The sequence below is a fragment of the Homo sapiens genome, chromosome 20, assembly GCF_000001405.40.
Source record: "Homo sapiens chromosome 20, GRCh38.p14 Primary Assembly".
NCBI lineage: Eukaryota > Metazoa > Chordata > Mammalia > Primates > Hominidae > Homo > Homo sapiens.
The window spans coordinates 22,399,645-22,421,299 of NC_000020.11; the positions used below are offsets into that span (position 1 = coordinate 22,399,645).

At 40.4% G+C, this 21,655-nt stretch overlaps 1 long non-coding RNA gene across 2 annotated transcripts, besides 4 other annotated features; it reads right to left on the minus strand.

The window, feature by feature from the left end:
- Positions 1–688: 688 nt before the first annotated feature.
- Positions 689–20,999, minus strand: LOC284788 (uncharacterized). Of its 2 annotated transcripts, NR_027089.2 has the most exons (4): positions 20,316–20,999; positions 6,985–7,068; positions 1,682–1,818; positions 707–1,467 (listed from the first exon to the last, which is right to left on the minus strand). It is a non-coding gene; the product is annotated as an uncharacterized LOC284788 (long non-coding RNA). The 2 variants fall into 2 exon arrangements; NR_027090.1 differs by lacking the exon at positions 6,985–7,068 and having other exon boundaries at positions 689–1,467.
- Positions 2,231–5,518: an enhancer, noted in NCBI's record as "VISTA enhancer hs2547". NCBI's record gives its function as "enhancer in: hindbrain (rhombencephalon)[6/7] | midbrain (mesencephalon)[7/7]" and the evidence as "EXISTENCE:transgenic organism evidence [ECO:0001131][PMID:17130149]".
- Positions 4,148–4,257: an enhancer, noted in NCBI's record as "active region_17626". NCBI's record gives its function as "activates an Ori minimal core promoter by ATAC-STARR-seq in GM12878 lymphoblastoid cells {active_cell/tissue: GM12878}" and the evidence as "EXISTENCE:reporter gene assay evidence [ECO:0000049][PMID:35858748]".
- Positions 6,267–6,561: a silencer, noted in NCBI's record as "tiled region #10803; K562 Repressive non-DNase unmatched - State 23:Low". NCBI's record gives its function as "represses a minimal TATA promoter and a strong SV40 promoter by Sharpr-MPRA in K562 cells {active_cell/tissue: K562}" and the evidence as "EXISTENCE:reporter gene assay evidence [ECO:0000049][PMID:27701403]".
- Positions 11,898–13,097: an enhancer, noted in NCBI's record as "MED14-independent group 3 enhancer chr20:22392180-22393379 (GRCh37/hg19 assembly coordinates)". NCBI's record gives its function as "activates an origin of replication core promoter dependent on BRD2, BRD4, P300/CBP and CDK7 cofactors, and independent of MED14, by STARR-seq in HCT116 cells {active_cell/tissue: HCT116}" and the evidence as "EXISTENCE:reporter gene assay evidence [ECO:0000049][PMID:35650434]".
- Positions 21,000–21,655: the final 656 nt, after the last annotated feature.

The window sequence follows — 21,655 nt, forward strand, 5'->3', positions numbered from 1 at the left end:
CCTGGACCTGAAGGTTTGCTGAATCATGGATCCTCAAGCTTGCGTTCGTGCGTTTGTGCTGGGATCCAGCACAGAACCTAACATTGGGTTCTGTTAAATATCTTATCACTTTTCTTCTAAAGAAACTTTGGAGACTCTTCATGACCTACAGAATAAAATCTAAACTTAGAAAACTTGTTGTCTGATTTCCCTGCTCTGCAGCAGGGATTCCCAGAGGTAAGTGGATGCCCCTTGCACTTCCAAGCCCACTGTTAATGACATGCATGGTTGTGCCACTTGTGGTCTGGCTAATTGCATATATTCGCCTCTCTCCTAGACTGTGAGCTCCACAAGAAATTTTGTTCTCCCTTGTGGGCCACGATGCCTAGTACAGCATAGATAACCAACAAATATTTACCAATTTTAAGTCAGGATTTGATCCTGACACCTGCTCCCTTCACCTGGGTGGAATCGGTTGGAGATGGCCCATGGCCTGCTTGGAGTTCACGTTCATGTTGCTTTCCATGGTTCCTCAGGGGCCTATGCAATTCTTTTTGAAAGCTCATTTTGGCTCCATAACACTCTAGATGTCAGGTTTTGCTTCCTTTTGTTTTTTTTCTCTAACAGCTTCATTGAGATTTGATTCATATACCATAACATTTACCTGTTTAAAGTGTACCACTCAGTGGTTTTAGTGTATTCACAGACTCATGCAACCATCACCATACCAATTTTAGAACATTTTAATCACCCCACAAAGAAACCCCATGGAGGGGGCAGGCATTCCCCATTCCTGCCCTCCACCCCCACCCCAAGCCCCTGGCAACCACTAGGTGCCTCCTCCAAGCAGTTCATATAAATAGACATACAGTACATGTGCTTTTGTGACTGGTTTCTTTCACTGAACATACTGTTGAGAATCAGCCATGGTGTGGTATACATCAGTTCTTTGCTCCTTTTGACTGCTGGGTAATATCCCCTTGTATGGATGGACACGCCACATGTTTTGATCCATTCGTCAGTGGATGAACACATGGGTTGTTTCTACTTTTTCTGGCTATCACTTTCAGTGCTGTCTGGATATAGTCCAATGAGGGTCACAGGAGAACAAGTAGAGGGTGATTTTTAAACGTGAGTAAATGATGCACACAGAGGTGCGTTTTAGGCCAGTGATGGTGCATAGTTTGCAGCATGCACACTGCCAGGCCCATACCCTCTTCTGGGTTCTCAAATCCCTTTTCTATGAAGATTATTTCTTCCCTTCTTAGTTAATTTCCTTAGATTCGATAGGCATCAATAGTGTGCTGTGGACGAATTCCGCCTTCTGAAAGCTCTGTAACTGGGACTCTATGAACAACTCGGGTGCAGAGAAGGATGAGCCTGTTGAGTGTGCAGGATCCTTTACTCAGCCTTGAGCCTCTCTATTCACTGGCATTTTACAGTCACTTCAGGCTGGAAGCCATGCTGTGTGCGGTACTCCCAGTTCACCTGTATGTGAACACAGGACACTGAGGAAAAGCATTTCAACAGCCTGACTTCCTCAGATACATACAACCTCTCCTCCCACCCCACACAAACTTGATTTTACTCTCCTTCCAGTGAGGGCAACATGTCAATCTCTTTTCAAACCCCACGTGGAAAGCCTGGCTACAGTTTTGGTAACAATGAGGTACTTTCTTCTCATTTATGTTAGCACTCTTACCTGCTTAGCCTCAAAAACCCCCAGTATAACCTTGCCTGAAGAAGTCGCTAAGGATGCTGGCATTATTTGTAAATCGATTGCAAATGGTACTCAGATATGAAGTTCTTCTGCGGTCTTCGTTAAAGCTTTGTATTATTCTATGTGAATATAAATAGATAATTATTTACTTAAAAAATATTTTGTGGGCTATAAAGGTAAATGCATAAACAGGTCCTACAAGAATATTCTTTATTTTTGTAATTAAAACTATTCATTTCTGCCAAATTTTCTTCACCTTTTATTTCATTCAGAATATTATTATTATTATTATTTGCTCTACTGTGGGCAAAGTTTCTAGAATAGCTCAAATTAAAAATATGTATATACTCCCTCACCCCCTTACTCTATTTATGCCATCAACTTTTCTCCATAAAAGAATCTCATTTTATGCTTTCATTTTCCACATTGAACTTTTGGGTACAAGAAAGTGGGGGTGAAATATGAGTTCAGATGCCTGCAATTGTCTTGGAATATTTTTCTGCACACTCAAAAGCCTCCATTATGAACAAAGTCTGATGTTCGTTCACCCAGTGATGAATGCTGACTTAGCCTGAGAAAAAACTAATTAAAAATGTTGTGGAAAATGCAAACGTGGTTGATTTAAACAGCCAAAAGGAATTATCCTCTTGCAGTGTAAACTACCTATGGAGTGTTAAAGTTCTTGGAATCAATTAGTTTCTAGAAACCAAACAAATGATGATCTTACTCTTGTCCCCAAATGATAAAACAAAGGTTTGGTAAAAGAATACTATACATTACAGTTTTAACATTGGCGTTTAAAATTTTCTGTTTGTTTTTATTTTCTAATTTTTAGATAACTAAAGCCTAAAACTACAGCTAAATAGGATGTTTTAATTCACGCTAATTACCATAAAATTCATGAGGTAGGATTTTTTTTCTTAACCTTTCTTATTCACCTACTCCTTGCTCCAGAATTTCATTTTGGAGTTTATCAGAACAAAATTCTTTCGCTGCGCTCTCCAGTCCTGTTTGCTGAGTTCCGCAGGGTTTGCTGACAAGTTCTACTTGAGTAAATTGTATTTAGACAACCGTATATTTCATTTAGGCCTTTTGCAATGACTGGGCCAAGGTCAGTTTTATATTCTCCTGAAATCATAAAGTGACACTTGAGATAAACAGAATGTTTACTCTCTCCATGTGAGCTGAGGCTGATATGTAAATTTATCCTTATTCTTTCATCAAATTTGCATTTGCCCTCTTAGCCAAACACTACAGACTTCCAAATCAAACAGTTTTGATGATGGTCAACTCTTTATGACCGATGGCCATATCAGAGAAAAAGAAACAGCCATTTAGATTAAAATGAAAAGCACAGTGCAACATAACTCTCCTCTCTAGGTTAGTGGTAATTGGATGAACTTTCATACAAGAGGTGTTTTGATGCTTCGCTGCTTACCAGTAATTACCACGGGCTTCCGGCTTTGTGTGTGCCTGTGATGTACCCTTTATCTGTGACGAACACACCATACTCACCTATCATCATTTTTTTTCCGGTCAAATAAACCAAGTACCTCTAAATAGATTCTTTATATTAAAGAAGGAGAAAAGAAAGGAAGGCGTAACAGAAAGACTTGATCCTCTCCTCAAATGAATACATTTGCTAACTCTAGCAAGAATAAGACACAATAAATAATGACAATACACAAGGTAGAAGATGAAAATCAGAACTCTAGATTTTGTAGACTGTTGTCTTCCTATGAGGTTATTCTGTTTTCCAGTGTGTGCGCTCTACAGAGGTGACTTGTCGCCCAGGGCAAGGAGGTGTGTCACTCGCTTACTCCAAGGTGAGCTGGAATCTGTTAGGTAAAAAGCTCCCAGTGCCCAAACAGCCTCGGGCCCGGTGAAAAAAGCCACTCCCAGCAGCTTAAATCTCTCTGATGCAGTTAAACAAGAGGCAGCCTCTGAGAACGTGAGGGATAAAATTAGTACCTGTGTTTGCTTTCCATTCTTTTTGAACAAAAGGAGCTATTTCTGTGTTCTGAGTTTGCAGAACACAGAGGGGATTAAGCAATGGGACCACACAACTCATTCCTTTCAGGTTGGGGGCTGGGTTAAACACTCAGCATAGCTCCCCGGGAGCGGTAGCGCCCACTAGGTTTTATTCCCTCCTGAAAGTTGTGCTATCGGGGTCTTGCTCAGGGGAAATAGAGCTCCACAGCCCTGCTTGTGTTTTGTTTCGGCACCAAATGCAATGCTAGCAAGTTCAAAGCAAACGGTCTGCGAGACAGGCTGCACAAAGAAGAAAAAAGTGGCATTCTTTCAGGAGCTCCTGGATTCTGCTTCCTGTAAGGAATAAAAAATGAAGACTGTTGGCGCTGAGCCTTGCTAGGTTACTGAAGATCTCCCACTTGGAATGTCAGACACATCAGTAAACGACTTGATCCAGAAACAGAACTAACGTAATTCACGCCATTGATACAACAGGACGAGTGTCTCTACCCAACTTCAGTGCTTGTCTTATGAAGAAGAAGACCAAGAAAAAGAAAGAAAGGAAAAGAGAAAGCAAAGAGGCAAGGGAGTGTGGGGGAAGGCAGAGAACACAGTTTCCTTTTCAGTGTGGCTGTCAAATGGCGATCTAATTGTGGCCGGGCTGCAGGAGAGCAGATAGCTTTTCTGAAGCCCGCAAGTATTTCTGCCATTCACCAGGCCGAAGGATGCCACACACAGTCTGTTTGTTCAACATAAGCAAACAGATTGTAAACTGGCTGATAATTTTTGTACTGACAATGTCATTTACAGCTGTCAGCCTTTCGTCTGCCTTGTTTGCTTTATTCAAATATGAACCAAGTGGACCTCCCTTCCAGCGCTTTCTTCTGCATTAAAATCACATCCATTCCCTTCCAAGCTGTCTTATCTAAAATTCATTGGAGGCCAATCAGTTGGCTGAATGCTTTGTTGTTTCCATGGAGGCAAGAAGTCTAGTGTGGACTTTCGGGGATTAGGAAGTTTCAGATTTACAGCCTTGAAGTGCGTGTTTCTTTCAGTTAGCTTCTTTTGATTGCAAAGAGGCAGGACATTTAAATATAATTTTATGTCTGAACCAGGAAGCAGTGCTTTAAAAACGTAATCATTCTGGTTTGTGGCTCCCTCTTGCCAGCACTTGGCCTTACTTCTTCTGGTTTAGTCCTTGGAATGTGCCACCCTCGCAGCATGGATTGGCATTCTTCCTCTGCCCCTAGGTCATGACGGCTCCTTGGCCAGCGGGCACTGCTCAACTGCACCTCTTCTCTAAAATCCTGGCTTTGATCCTGCAGCCTGTCAGGGTGTCACCCACAAATCTTGAAGCCTCCTCTGTTGTGAGTGGAGGTTGCAATACCTTCTGTTAAATAATTCACATCGGACTGGCTGTCTGGTGGCAGGCAGGCAGCTGCAGATATTGCCACTTTGCTCAGAGAGTACAGGCACAGTCTCCTTAAAAAAATAAGCCAGTGGCAAAGTTGCCTACTTCCCTGCACCTGGTGCTGGTGAGAGTTCCTAATTCCAGGATGTGCTTAACTCTGAACTTCAGCCTCATATTTTAAGGGCAACATCAAGAAAAAAGTGATGTTTGTTCCTGGGGATGGGGAGCCTTGCTGCATTCTTGGGAAAAGAGTGTTCTTTTGGCAAACGTGATTTCTGGTCTCTTACTCAAACAAGGAATATCTTAAAATCATCCATGATGTATTGGGCAATTCATTACTTACACTGAAGGCTTTAAAACATAACATCACTGGTACTCTGATTTGACTTTTGACTGTGGCAATTTGTTTAAGTTTGTTTCCCAATGCTTAAAACGGCATAAAGTTAATCAACCTCAGTAAGTGAATATTGAGAATATATTATATGTAACAATAAATTCATCACAAAAACTTTTATATATTTGGGATAATTTCAAGTTGCATCCCAACTGAAATTTGCTGTTTTTTTCTTTAGATTTATTGCAACCAATCTCAAATATTTGTTTAGTATCAACTCTTAGCTTAGAATACATAAATCCTACTACAGGTACCAAATGAATATTACTCATGAAGTCATTTGAGAAAAGTTTGAGGTAGTGTCCAATCTCATGCTAGGTGGAATTTGGTAGAAAGTATGTATTTTTTAAAAGTTTCAGAGAAAAGAAGACTCAATAGAGGTTGCCACATGGGGGAATATTCATTCTATCTATTTAGTCAACATAAGAAGCATACAATACTATGAGGAAGCTGGTAATTTTATGTGATAACAAGCTGTGCTATTATAGAATAGAATGTATTAGTTGCACTTATGTGAACTAATGTGTTGTATGGACTGTGATCTGGTACATAGGCCTGCCTATTCTTTGTTTCGTTTTGTTTTGTTTTGTTTTGTTTGAGACAGTCTCCCTCTGTTACCCAGGCTGGAGGGCAGTAACACGATCTTGGCTCACTGCAAACTCTGCCTCCTGGGTTCAAGCGATTCTCCTGCCTCAGCCTCCTGAGTACCTGGGATTACAGGTGCCCATCACCACACCTGGCTAATTTTTGTATTTTAGTAGAGACAGGGTTTCATCATGTTGGCCAGGCTGGTCTCGAACTCCTGAGCTCAGGTGATCTGCCAGCCTTGGCCTTCCAAAGTGCTGGGACTACAGACTATCTGTTCTTTAATATAGAATGTTATTAACGGTCTGGAGTCCCCATGGTTACAATGTGTCCTGCTCTCTTGGAAGGCCACGCAATTTGCTACAGCTGAGACCTTGTTTCCCTATGACTTCAAAGAAGACCTTCTTGTTGTAAAACAAAGCATTAGTCTTTGCTTTTTATCTTTAAGACTTTAATCCTACTCTGGTGTATGTAGGGATATTTAGCTGTCAATATCCTGTTTTTTATGTTCTATTGAAATTATAATCATTTTAATATGTCAATTAAAATAAAATTGATCTACTTACTAAATTTTTATGCAATTTAGATGCTATATAGTTGATCAGTCACTAAAGTATTTATCTGAACCTATCCCCTACCATATAAAAAATTACAGCACCCTTTGTGTGCAATTCCAAAAAGCAAGAAGCTCTGAATACTGAAATTTTAACATGACATGAACTGTACTGAGAATATGTAAAATCTTTTATTCTGCATGCATTTGCTGCAGAAATATTTGTGTTTAATTATGAGATTGCTCCCCTAGACCCCACTGGGTATTTTATTAAACACATGGAATATTGTTCATCTTATCTTTAAAAATCTTTAAGTTGCTGGATTCTGAACACTTTCAGACCCAAGGGTTTTGGACAGCATAGCACATACCTGTCTAAGGTGTGTTTCATGGTGACTCTATGAGAAGCAGATTAACACTCACACAAACTATTAAGACTTGTGGCTGAAAGGACTCTGCTGTGAACAGACAGGAAGAAAATTGTAATTAGAAAAGGAAACTAAAACTTTGATCATATATGAGAATATAGAGGAGAGGAATTGGAGAAACAAGTTGTTGGTACAGCAGTCTGTAAAGCCAGGACAGCTGACAGCATCAATTTGATGTTTGGCGAACAATAGGTGGAGAGAAGACAAAGAGTTCTAAAGAAAGATAAAGCACATGAGAGAAAATGGAAATAAATGTGTCATCTGAATGAGGTATATTTTCTCCTTCTTTGCACAGATATTGCAACTCTTCTACAAGTTTGAAGTTACATCAAAACAATTTTTTAAAAAGTCAATAAAACCCCAAAGGAAGCATCAAAGAAAGTGAAGCACTCACAGAAAAACAAAGAACCTTCTTTGACGTTTTCTCCCTTTTCCTTTCAAGTGGCTAAAGTGGAAATGAGCAATCAGAAATGCAGTGGAATAAGAGAGAATGTAAGAATAAAGAAAAATGGGTGGAGAAAAAGAAAGAGAAGAGAGAAGGGGAGTATATCTGAAAACCATGTTTTGATGTTGTCTAACTCTTCAATAGTAGCTTACCGAACATCCCCTATTGTGGGGCTCTGGACACATATCTTAATTTTTGTGTGCCTCAGTTTCTTCATCTGTAAAATGGGAGTGACATGGAATCCATCTCACTGGATTGCCATGAAAAGTAAATAAATAGAGATTCCAAAGGAAGTCTCACAAGCACTCAGCAGATATTTGCCACATTTGCTATTGTGATGTTTATTGGCATTATTCCTACTGTGTGCCAGGGCGGTGGGCCACGATTTTCTCATTCATTACCCTCTTTTTACTTACAACAATGCTCTGAGGTAGATACTAATATTGTTCCCACTTTACAGATGGAGAAACTAAGGCTTAGAGAGCTTAACCAACGCAGGACAAATATGTGAGGACTTGCTTGGAATGAAAACACATCTAGGATTACAGGGATGGAGGAACAAGGTCTGAGGGAAGGCTCAGCCACAATAACCACAGGAGGAGACTGCAGCAGGGAGGAGCTGCTGGGGCATCACATGTACATGGTAGTGCAGGGGGCCTCCAAGGAGCCACATGAGGGGCAGGTGAGCAGGTAAGCTGGGCAGTCCTCCCTCTTCCTCCTGTGCTAAGCAATCCCAGAGGATACTTGCCTCAGCCTGATAGTGGTACGGTAGTGCCCTCTTATGCTTGAGGAATACATTCCAAGACCCCACTGGTTGCCTGCTACTGTAGATAGTACCACACCCTATGTACACTAAATAACTAAGCCGACTAGTAAGTGACTGATGGATGGTGGTGTCTACAGTGTGGAGATGCTGGACAAAGGGATGATTTATGTCCTGTGCAAGACAAAGTGGGGCAGTGAGGAATTTCATCATGCTACTCAGAATGGCGCACAAGTTAGCATTTATGAAGTGTTTATTTCTAGAATTTTCCATTTAATATTTTCAGACTGTGGTTGACCACAGGTAATGGAAATGGCAGAAAGTAAAATCATGAATAAGGAGGGACTACTATATTCTGGTAAATGTCTAACAAATGGCTCTCTGGCAAAAAGTGTGTGTGTGCGTGTTTGTTACAGATATCTAGAAGAAAATATGGGAGAAAAGTTCCTTGACATTGGTCTTAGCAATGTTTTTTTTTTTTAATATGACACCAAAAGCACAAGCTACAAAAGCAAAAATAAGCGAGCAGGACGACATCAAACTAAAAAGCTTCTACACAGCAAAAGAAACAATCAACAAAACAAAAGGCAGCCTATGAAATGGGAGGAAATATTTGCAAACCATAAATCTGATAAGGTATTAATATCCAAAATATATAAGGAACTTACACAACTCAATAGCAAAATAACCAAATAACTCAATTAAAAATGAGTAGGTATTTTTCCAAAGAAGACATATAAATGGCCAAGTGCATGAAAAGGTGAGCAACATCATTAATCATCAGGGAAGTGACAATCAAAACCATAATGAGTTATCACTTCACACCTCAGGATGGCTATTATCAAAAAGACAAGAAATAACAAGTGTTGGCGAGAGTGTGAAGAAAAGAGAGCCTTTGTGGTTGGTTGGAATGCAGACTGGTGCTGCAGTATGAAAAACTGTATGGAGATTCCTCAAAAATTTAAAACTAGAATTATCATATGATCCAGCAATTCCTTTTTGGGTAATATATCCAAGGGAAACAAAATCAGAATCTTGAAGAATTATCTGCACCCTCATGTTTATTCCAGCATCATTCACAATAAGCAAGACATGGAAACAATCTAAGTGTCCACTGACAAGAGATCAATGAATAAAGAAAATGTAGAATACAATGGAATACTATTTAGCCCTTAAAAAGACAGAATTCTTGCCATTTGTGACAAAATGGATGAACCTGGAGGACATTATGCCTAGTGAAATAAGCCAGACACAGAAAGGCAAATACAGCATAATCTCACTAATACATGGCATCTAAAAAAGTCTGACTCATAGAAACAGAGTAGTGGTGATTAAAGGCTGGGAAGTGAGAGACATAGGGAGACTTTGGTCAAAGGGCACAAGGTTTCAGTCATAAGATGAAGAAGTTCTATAGATCTAATGCATAATTGGAGAATGTATTGATAACTTGGAATTTTACGAGAGCAGATTTTAAGGATTAACACACATACACACACACACACACAAATAGTAACGAGTAGTAGTGGACGTGCTAGTTAATTTGACTGTGGTAATCATTATGCAATGTATATGTATATCACGTCATCTCATAGTATACTTTGAATATACATTTTTGTCAATTAAATATTTTTTTAAAATATTATTAATTATAAATTCCATATAGCTAATTGATTTTAACAGAATTCTTTTGTTGATTTTGCTGAACTTTTGCCCTCATAGCCAACTACAAATCAATTCTTTTTTTTTTTTTTTTTTTTTTGAGATGGAGTCTCGCTCTGTTGCCCAGGCTGGATTGCAGTGGTGCAATCTCAGCTCACTGCAACCTCCGCCTCCACCTCACTGCAACCTCAAGTGATCCTCTCACCTCAGCCTCCCCAGTAGCTGAGACTACGGGTGGGCACCACCACACCCGGCTGATTTTTGTATTTTTAGTAGAGACGGGGTTTTACTATGTTGGCCAGGCTGGTCTCGAATTCCTGACCTCAAGTGATGCGCCTGCCTTGGCCTCCCAAAGTGCCGGGATTACAGGTGTGACCCATCATGCTCAGCCTACAAATCAATTCTTGATCACTCTCAGATTCTGCAAAGAAGCCCCTCACCTCAATGATGAGCAAATGCAACTCCAACATGAATGTTAGTTGATGTTTTTGTTGATGTTAAGTAGTAAAATGAAAGTGAAACAATGAGGACATATATTGGGACTTTAGTTGTTCATCAGTGGAATGAATGGCTTCTTTGTTGAATTGGAGAACAGTTTTCAAATACTCAAAAAATATTTCCTGAAGTATGCTTTATGTGTTTTCATAATATAATGGCTATAAACGCAGCACATTTTTAAGTTTAACCTGCTATATTAACATTTTCTCCACCACTTTCTTAAGTCTAGACAAACAACGAAACAATAAATCAAGCTCTGATTTTCAGCATTTGCCAGTTTTCACGGCTTGGATACTCTCATCACAGATGAATTCAAACTATCAACATGAACATGGATTTGGCAAGAGGTACCAACAGGATACCAGTATCTACAGGTCTCATGAAGGAGGAAGCATTTGAATTTGGCTTGTAAAACATGGGGAACTTTGTATAGACAGAAATGGAGGGAGAGGACATTCCTGGCAAAAGACACACTTAAATAAAGGCAAAATAGGGAAACCGTTTTGACATAGAGAGGCATCAAAGGGCCTACAGAAGACACCAAGAAAGACATGCAGGACCTTGGGAAAAAGATCTGGAATGTGATTTCAAAGGACTCTGAATTCCTTTCTTATCCTATGAACTTTCCTTTTATCCCATTAAAGGTTTCGTTTCCTTTTGCTTTTGTTTGGTGGGGAATAATTTGCATGTTTGTATTGTTTTGTTATATGGAATGGAAGACAGAAAGGAAGCAAGAAGGATGGTGTGAAATGGTCAGATTTGATCTTTAAGGATAGTACTCTAATAACCAGAGTTGTGGAAGGGATGGAAGCTGACAGACTAGAGGTGGGGAAAGTTGGGAGGAATTTACAAAAGTCAGCACCAGAGGGAATGAGACTGCACCAGGCCACAGCAACAAGAATGTCAGGTCCAGTGGGCTTGGATGAGGCCTAACTTACTGCCCTCTATGTCCCCAATAATCTAAACAGGGCCTGGCACACAGAAGGTGCTCAGCGACATTTGCTGAAGGAATGAACGACGGAAATGTAAAGTAGGGAGGAAGGGGGAGAGATCTCAAGTTTGTTCATATCAGGAAAATAGCTCTGAATAATACTGAATTCTATATAAAAAATGTAATGCATTCTGTATCAGAGTTTCCAAAAAATATTTTTAAAAACTATGTTGCTGCTTAAACCAGCTCTGACGGGAAGTTGAAAGTATTGCTTATAAGCCACAATTTTATAGGAATCTTATATGTACTATTGAAGTAATGTGGATAATGTAAGGAGATTTTTCTGAATGTAGATCACATTATTTTTCTGGGTACTTGCCTTATTCTAACACTACCTTCATTCTTTGTTCCTTCTTCCTTTTCAAGGGGTTAATAGTCTGCAAAGAATCTATTAAATGCATTTATGGAAACTTCTCATTATGAAATGCTTCTTAGGAATCCACCCAGGGAATAATTTGGGACTTTTTTTTTAATTCAATTACTTCTTTTTCCTCTAGGTAGGAAGCAGTTGGGAAGGGTTATACTGAACTACAGGAATTAACTCTGAATCCAAATTTTGAAGTGTGTTAGTGGCGGCAAACTTCCTTCTCCGAACATTGGTATGACTCAGTATTAAAGTGCTGGGCTCCTGGATGATAAGAAGTCTGTGTGTGGGGGTGACCATTGTATGTACATGTTCGGTTAATCATTACAGGCTTCTCTGCTTATCACCACAGTGGTGCTCACCACAGGCCAGCAAGAGGAATGATGGATTTCTCCCGAGTTCTTGGCAGGAACTGAGCTCCACTGGTTTTATTCTGAAGCTGCTAACAGAGAGCCTCCCACCCTTGCCCTTATCACTTTTTATTCTTCTACATCCTTGAAATTAATGAGACAATGAGTTGGTTGTGGTGACCGTTTCCAGGCCTGTGGCTGCTAAGCTAGCGTCCAAGTCTGGCTGAGAGGTGGGAGGACTACGGCCAGGAGATGTTGGGTTTCACTACATGATGCAATGCTCTAATTTGCTGAATCATAGTTCCTAATTTCCTGGAATCCAAGAAACATGGCCTTGTTTACCCCCGTTTGTACTTAGATTCAAGGGCTGGACATTTAAAGATCACCTGTCAGTCAATCCGCCTCCTTAAACTAAGATCTCCAAAGCAAGATGTGCCATTTTGTAAAAACTTCTATCCAAGTTTAACAGGCAGAAAGAAAAGTGAACATATCATAAATGTACCACCCAGTGATTTTTCACAAGCCAAGCACATCCTGTAACCAGCACCCAAATCGAGACGAACACCACCAGCCCCTTGGAAACCACCGGCTATTTCCCTTCCAGCCAACGACTTTACCCTCCCCAAGATCCCAACCATCTAGCCAGCAGCATGATTCATTTTTGGACTCTAAATAATTGGAATCACATCATATTGACTCTTCTGTGACTGGCTTCTTTTTCTCAACTTTTATCTTTGCAAGATTCAACCATATTTTTGTGCTTATAGCTCACTCTTTTTTCATTGCGGTATACTATCACTTTGTGCTACTATACTATTATTTATTCATTCTAAAGGTATTGTTTTTATGCTCTAAATTTCTGGGAGAGGAGTTTTTGCCACACCCCAATACATTCAGACTTTGAATCATAATTTTAAATCCTCTTTTATTATTATTATTATCTTTGCTGTCTCCTACATCCAATTATTCTAATGAACTTCTAATGATTTCATGGCTTCATCTCCCTTCTCATCAGATTCATTTACAAACATCACCCAAGAGCACGGATCTGACCACATCCCTTTCCACTGAAACTTCTCCTGCTGCAGTCTTCTCACCCAGGCACTCCTCATCCTCCCTGGCTTGGTCCTTTCCTGTATCTTGCCTAATTCGCTTTGAAAGCACAGGATCTACTTTTTCTTTCTGGGACTGCATCATTATTTCCCCAGCCCTAGGCATATGTTGAAGGGTTTCTTCAGTCTAGAAGTTTCTTTTCCCCCCATATACAGTGTCAGACACTGCTAACCCATCCTTGAAGACCCAGTTCATATTATACAGTCCCAGCTCTGGTCTCCAGTTTGCCTGTTTCAAAGTCGGCTCTGTAGGGCTCTGCCCCTTCCGCTTCCCCGTGAGCTAGCAGGCGTCTGAGGGCCTCGGGTTTGCTCCCAGCCTCTCTCACCTTTGCCCCCAGATATTTGCTCCGTGAGAATAGCCTGGATCTTCTCTAACCCATCGTTTCTTCTTTTATTTTCACATTTCCTGATTACGTTCTGTCTCTTTTTCCAGGAAAAATGTCTGTGGGATGGCATGCCTTTCGAGGGCTGTGTGTCACAGAGAGATGAGTGAGGAGGAGAAACCTATTCTGATGCCCAGTTCGAGAGGATTCTCATCCAGACTTGTTCTCCTCTGAAAGCTCTCACTGACTGTACCTTCTTAGTGTTGTTCTCCAGGTAGAATGAGGAGAAGAGCGCTGTGCACATGAGTAGCTGAAATGCCTTTAAATCCCATCACAATCCTGCAAGCTTAATGTGCTCAGAGGTGGCCAAAGGGAAGAGGAGGAAGCACAGCCACTGGAGAGGAGAGACAGCACGAGACAAGGCAGGCTGGCTTTGCATCCTCCTTCTATTCATGCACAGTTGTCATGGTCTGACAATTGCATCATCACATACACCGAAATGTCACAATGTCCTTATTTTCTAAAATTCTTAGTGCATAGTGTGACACGAAAAAATTCTTCTGATTATGAATTTATATGAAAAGCCTTCTAATGGTAGAACATTTAATTTACATCTATACATTCAGTGATTCACATTTTCTGAAATTAATATAATCAAGAAAAATCAGGACTGCCCTAAAAAATCTGCTCTTTGTCTCTGTTACTGATTGTAGAGCCGACCTCTCAGATCTGTTGATGAGATTTCTGCATGCTTTCTTTCTACATGACCCTGAAAAAATTTTTTAATGGGAACTCCTAAGGAGAAATCAGAGTTTCAGAAGACATCAGAGTTCAGAAGAAATTAGAGTGAATGTGCTTGAAATCTAGAAATTTGCTGAGAACAATTTCATGCAGAGGAGAGAAAGAAAAGACTGAATCCAGGCTAGAAAGTTAAAAACTGGCCAGTTATATCAATAATATGTCAGTTCTCAGTCCATCCCTTCTCTTGGCATGTGACCTCAAGATTGTCACCTTAAAAAAATAAGTTCTACGAAAGTAAAAGTACTCAAGAGTTGGCTGGGATTTCCATTGCATTTTAAACAGCTCATTTGTATTCTCCTTGTACCCTAAAAGACCAGCTCGAAAGCAGTGAAGAGCATAAAGCAAGAGGCAGCTGGAAAAAAACAGGTCTTGAAATGATAAATGTAATGTTTCATGTCAGCAACTGGAATTTTTTTGTAGCGTTACTGTCTTGGCCTGCTGACAGCATGATTTAATGGCCTGGTTGCTCCATGAGTTGACATGGCAACCACAGAAAATGCCATAAATATCTGAGTGTGGACGTGAATGCTATGTTTACATTGTGTGTGGTGCATTGTGTGACATGTGGTGGCTGTTGTCTCTTCCAGTTGGAAACGTCTGGAATTGACAGCCATGTTTTAGAGCCATTTGGGCTAAAACAACTCTCATGACAGACACTTTACTGCAAGTCCAGAGCTGTGCATTTTTGTGTATATTTGAGAAATTAAACTCAGTGTTCAATGGGCCAGAGGGCCTTAACACAGTTTGCCATGTACCATAAGCCACTTTCTACCTCAGAGTCAAGACAATGTTGAATTTCTTCTGTTTTCAACACGGTAGAGAACAATTATGTTCATTCAAAATTGAATTTAGTGAGCACTTCCCTAGATTTACTGAAACCCAAATTTTAGAATTGGAAATATTTTTGAAATAACTTCTAGTCCAATAATTTTATTCCTTAGGCAAAGTAACAAAAAAGAAAATGGTTTATTTGTTTCATGCTCCAAGACCTTGTAGGAAAGCAATGACATCCATACTTCCCTTGCTTAGATTTTTGCACATTCAAAGAAATGTGAAATCATGTTTTAAAAAGAAGAAAAAGGGAACTGAAAACTGATTATATTGTATTGACCATCAATTCCCCTGAAGACCACCAGAAAAATCTACCTATCAAGCAAAACTATAACAACCACCATAGTAAGATAGAACACCACCTTGAAATGAAAATTAGGCTGGAAATGAAAATTAAGGTAGGGTATAAATAACACCCTAGGACCTAGGCTGAGTGATTTTTAAGATGTTCTTTTCATGTAGGCAACTGGTTTGAACTGCATGGAGTTTATGGTATTATAGCTTTCAATTAGCTGGACACAGCAAGGCCAGGCTAAGAAGTCAGTCTTTCTGAGTAAATAGTTTGCCTTAATAAATGAATTGTTTAGCTCATTTATGGTCTTATTTTTCAGAAACCGGTATCCCTGGAACATGCAGCTCAGCTACTTTTGCTTGATCTTGGTATTATTTAACATACGGACAGGAAAGAATGAGTAGTTTCAGTACTGTTTAACACAGGGTCAAGACATTATGTTGACCTCTTTTATCAGTAGCCTCAGGTAAGTCATTTACTCTCTCTGGCTCTTGTTAGCTCACTCATTCATTCATTTTCCCTTTCACTAATCATATTCATTATTGAGTACAGATGATTCTTGACTTACTATGGCTTGACTTAAAATTTTTTACCTAACAGTGAGAAAGCAATGCACATTCAGTAGAAACCCTAGTTCAGTGAATTCTGAACTGATCAGAAGATCAGTGAATTCTGATCTTTTCCCAGGCTAGTAATATACCATACAATACTCCCTCATGAAGCTGTGCAGTAGCAGTGAGCCATAGCTCCCAGTCAGCCATGATCACAAGGGTAAAAAATTGGGACTCTACAGTATACTGTGCTGCCAGATGATTTTGCCCAACTGTGGGCTGATGTAAGCGTTATGAACAAATTTAAGATAGGCTAGGCTAAGCTATGATACTCACTAGATTAGGTATATTAAATGCATTTTCAACTTATAAGGGGTTTATTGGAAAGTAACCCCATTATAAGTCTGGGAGTGTCTGTACTTGCTAAATGTGCCCACTTAGGATACAAAGATAAGACTTGATAGCTGTCCTCAAGAAACCTACAATATATACTCTTGGTCATTTAATGTGTTACCATTATGTTAGATTCTTAAGTTTCAAGGAGCCAAGATGTGCGTGGGTAACCACAGGAGATAACTTTTATTATAAGTGCTTTCCAGGATGGTAGAAAGCACAAAAAGTTATCTCAGCAGCCAAAAGCCAGGAATTATGGAGACCAGAAACATTTTTGACCACAATTCAGGGTATTATAGGAGCTCTGGTGATCCTAACACCACTCTGGGGGGCCCATCTCCTCTCCAGAGAGAGGAGTCGATTAGCTGATTAATCACAATCCAGTGTGGTGTACCACAACCTACCCAGGTTTTCACACGAGGCCAACTCATCGAGCAGCTCACAGACAATGCTGTCCCTGGATCAGTGGCAGGATCCAGTTGTGTGTCATTGGATGTATTGCTGAGTCCTGCTACACTCAGCTATGGTTCATGAAACAGGTCCCATGGCAATGTATATGAGAAAGACCTGGGGCATCTTGCTCTGAAAGCCTCTTGGGAAAGATGGACCCCCAAAGACCCATGAACTGCCCAGGGTGAATATATGCTAGGCGATAGAATTATAAAATATTTTAACATTTCAATTACGTGAAGTTTTTCTTTTTATAAATTGTCTCATTAAGCCTTACTTCCTTTACTGAAGCCCAGATCTTCACTAGAATCAAACGCAACTCTCTGTACCAAAATTATTGTATTTCTTTTTTAAAAAAGTTTTTGTGGTATGAGATTTTACTGTATTCAAAACAATTAGGGAGAATATCTAAGTGAACAAACAGAAGCAACCAGAGAACTGAAATGGAAAATTTTTTAAATCTTAGTCTTTCTTTTACTTTTCTGTTTTTTTTTTCTTTAATCTTGGTTTTGCAGAAGAAGCAAAATATTGTCAGTGAAGAAGAGACAAATTTGTCACATCTTAATTTGATGGTAAAGAATTGCCTTTAATCATTGACCTTTCTTTCTTTGTCTTGGGATCAAATTGTAACTATGGAGCCTGTTTTAACACGAAGTCTGAGAGAAAAGGGTTTAACCTCGCTGAAGGTAACAAACGTTGTCCTTCCCACGCCCAGTAGGTATTGATGTGTTTGGTTTAGAGACCCATTCATCACAGCACTGTGAGCAGTCATCAGTCACACTAAGATGGGGACTTCACCTCCCAGACTTCTAATTTACCTTGTTCAAAACTATGAATTTGCATTGAAAAAATGAAAATTTCTCTGTTGTTTTTGGTATATAACAAATGGAGACTGTAGCGGTCCGTTCTTGCACTGCTACAAAGAAATATCTGAGACTGGGTACTTTGTAAAGAAAAGAGGTTTAATTGGCTCACAGTTCCACAGGCTATACAGGAAGAATGATGCTGGCATTTGGGGAGGCCTCAGGAAACTTATAATCATGGCGGAAGGAAAGGGGTAAGCCAGCACTTCACCTGGGTGGAGCAGGAGGAAGAGAGAGAGAGGGGAGGTGCTACACATTTTTAAACAACCAGATCAGCCAGGCACAGTGGCTCAGGCCTGTAATCCCAGAACTTTGGAAGGCTGAGGTGGGTGGATTACCTGAGGTCAGAGGTTCGAGACCAGCCTGGTCAACATGGTGAAACCCCGTCTCTAATGAAAACACAAAAAATTAGCCAGGCGTGGTGGCAGACACCTGTAATTCCAGCTACTCAGGAGGCTGAGGCAGGAGAATTGCTTGAACCTGGGAGGTGGAGGTTGCAGTGGGCCAAGATCGCACCCCTGCACTCCAGCCTGGGCAACAAGAGCAAAACTCCCTGTCAAACAAACAAACAAACAAACCAAAAAAACCCCAGATCTCCTGAGAACTCATTATCGTGACTACAGCTCCAAGCAGGATGCTGTTAAACCATGAGAAACTGCCTCCATGATCAAATCACCTCCTACCAGGCCCCAGCTCCAACACTGGGGATTACAATTAGACATGAGATTTGGGTGAGGACATGAGATCATTTTTAACTTTTTGGAGCTACAGTGCATGGAAGACTCTTCTGCAGTTTAAATTGTTTTTGTACTGTGGGATATCTTTATTGTGAGAGACCAAGTTTTCAGGTCACTCTGTGGCTGACTTCTATGGCTCCTCAAGTGACATTGTTATTGAAAGAATAAAAGTAGATTCACAAATGAAGGGGTCACAAATATAGTACGCAAGTGGAAAAAAGAAATGCCGCTAGAAACAATGTCACCCCAGTAGCAATGAGTAAACCTAGCACCCAGATCTTCATTTCTATACCATTCTCCAATAAAAGGAACCAGGGCTTTTTGGAGACATGGCTGATTCTCAGGCTGCATCACAAAATATGCACAATGAACATGGTACAGCTTGCAGTTCCAGGAAGCAAGGAAGTGATTGGAAAAAAAAAAAAAAAGGACACAATGATGGAGAAATGTCAAATGGACAAAGGAAGCAATGGAAAGAGCTCCCAATGGCCAAAGCTGGAATAATTAGACCAACAAAATAAATAAAACAATATGGGACTATAACCCAGAGTATAAAATAAATATTCATGATTCCATATTGATATAAAAATAATAAAATAAATGAATAAATGGGGTAGGAGACAAAGGTCTCTGCAGAAATTCCCAAATCATTTATGCACAAATTCTGCCCTCCAGGAGGTAAAGTATAACTCCCCGCTCCTGAAGACTAGACTGCATGTAGTGACTTTCTTCCAAAAAGCAAGGTATGAAAAGAGGGGAAAAGGAAACTTACAGTGGAGAAGCCGGACAAACACCACCTCAGCCAGGTAATCAAGGTCAATGCCAATAGTCATGAGTCATGCTGATACAAGCTGAACATTCTCTAATCCAAATGCTCCAACATCTGAAACATTTTGAGTGCCAACATGGTGCCACAAGCAGAAAATTCTACACCTGACCTCATGTGGCAGATTGAAGTCAAAACACAGTCAAAACTTTGTTTCATGCCCAAAATTATTTTAAAATTTTATAAAATTACCTTTAAACTATGGGTATATAGTGTATATGAAACATAAATACATTTCCTGTTGAGACTTGGGTCTCACTCCCAAGATTATGTATATGCAAATATTTCTATATCTGAGCAAATTCAAAATTTGAAACACTTCTGGTCTTCAGCATTTCAGATAAGGGAGAGTCAACCTGTAGAATGTGCCTTTGATATGATGTGTAAGAATGGCTCTTTACCTCTGTGGTCTTCCTTTCAAAAACCCATCAGCTCAGGATAATTATGAGTAAAACATTAGACAAATTCCAAGTGAGGGACATTCTACAAAATTCTCCATCAGCACTCCTCAAACTATCAACGTCATCAGAAACAAGGAAAGTCAGAAACTGTCACAGCCACGAGGAACCTAGGGAGACTTGAGGACTAAACATGCGTGGTAGCCTGGATGGGATACTGAGACAGGAAAATGACATTAGGTGAAAACTAAGAAAATCGGAATGAAATATGAACTTTAGTTAGTAATAATGTATTAATCCTGGTTCATTAATTGTGATAAGTGTACCACATTACGATGTTAATGATAGGGGAAACTGGATGTGGGGGATATATGGGAACTCTCTGTACTACCTTTGAAATTTTTCTGAAATTTAAAACTATGTTAAAAGGAAACATTTTAAAAATATGTGCTAAGACAGACCCCCAAAATGCCACTTTTTAAAACAAATTTATATGATTCTTCTCACAATTCTCCACCCCTTGAGAACTGAAATCAGCATAGTTCCCAGTGTCTTAAAACAACACTGGGGCCAGTCATTTTTTTGTTCCTTATTAAACAATGTTGGAACCAAGCAAAAATCACTTACCTGCTTGCTTCAGGAAGACTTGCTTACCAAAAATGAGGCAGTAAATCCACTAAAATAGCTAGCTTATAAAATCCAGTATCTTTCTTATCTAGATTTGCTTCAGGATCCTTGGCCTTGCGGGGCTTACCAATTGAGAATTGTTAGGGTAGAAACCCTGCCCAGTCCCAAGCTACTCCCCACCTTGCAAAAGCTACCTTAGAAGTCCCCCAGTGCAGACCCTGACTTTGTCAACCTGAGGCACTATCAAGACTCTACCAAGGTGGTTTTCTCTTATACTACAGTAAATCTAATAAACTTAGTTTTGTTCCATTAACATGTTTTTCTGGGGTCTTTTGGGAAGTTGACAGTCAATAGTAATAGGGGTTGAAACATGAGAACTTCATCTTCTCTTTTAAGAGTATCTTGGTATCTTCCAACTAGCGCAATCTCATGTCAGCTTAAGAGCCAGTTGAAGAAAAGTTCAACTCCTATCAGGGCGGTGTGGTTTCTAATCCTTCTACTGCTGCCCATCATGGTGCTGTGAGTGATTTGGTGCAGGAGAGGAAGGGGCTTCCATACTCTGGTTTCCTACTCCTCTCTGCTGTGTGGTGGCTCCAGGCTTGCATCTGCTGACAAAGTCCCACACCCGTGTCTTTCATTAAGCCAGCTGAGTGGTTCTCCCTCTCTAGCCCAACGGAATGTCCTGAGTACCAGCTTTAACTGCCAATTTGGTCTGTGGCTCAGATATTAACCTTGGCTACAGGGTGTTTACCCTGACCACAGTTGATGTGGCCCACCAGGCCCAGCAGCTGGCACCCATAGCTGCCCGTCGTGTTTGCTGTGAGCAGGCAGGCCCTCCTGCAGGCCTTCCACTCCATCCAACAGCCAAAGTAGTTCTGGAGGCTGATGGAGGCCTTATTTCAGCCTAATCAGGCCATCACGCCATTGTCAATCAACTGTAGCATCCCTTGTAAACTCAGGGCCACCCTCTGAGTGCTCTCAAATCAGCATTTCCAGTTTCTGGTTTTCTCAACACCTCCCCTTGCTCAAGATTTCCATCCTGATGAAGGAGGTCAAGTCATAGGTCCCTGAACCCCTGCTTCCACTTGCCTTACTCTTTTCCCTCCACAGGGGCCTTTCTCCAGAGACATGAGACAGTTTCCCTTTCATGCCTGCTCAGGATTTCCTCTGTCTCATGGTGTGCTCCTTCTGGGGTGAAAGTCATGGTATCTGTGGCAGACATGGAGATGCAACCTCAGATCTCCAAGAAAAGATCTGTTACCCAGCTTCGAGGAGGAAACTCCCCTAGGTCTGGCACTGCTTTTGAGCCATGATACTCTTCTTCGGTGGCCCTCAAACAA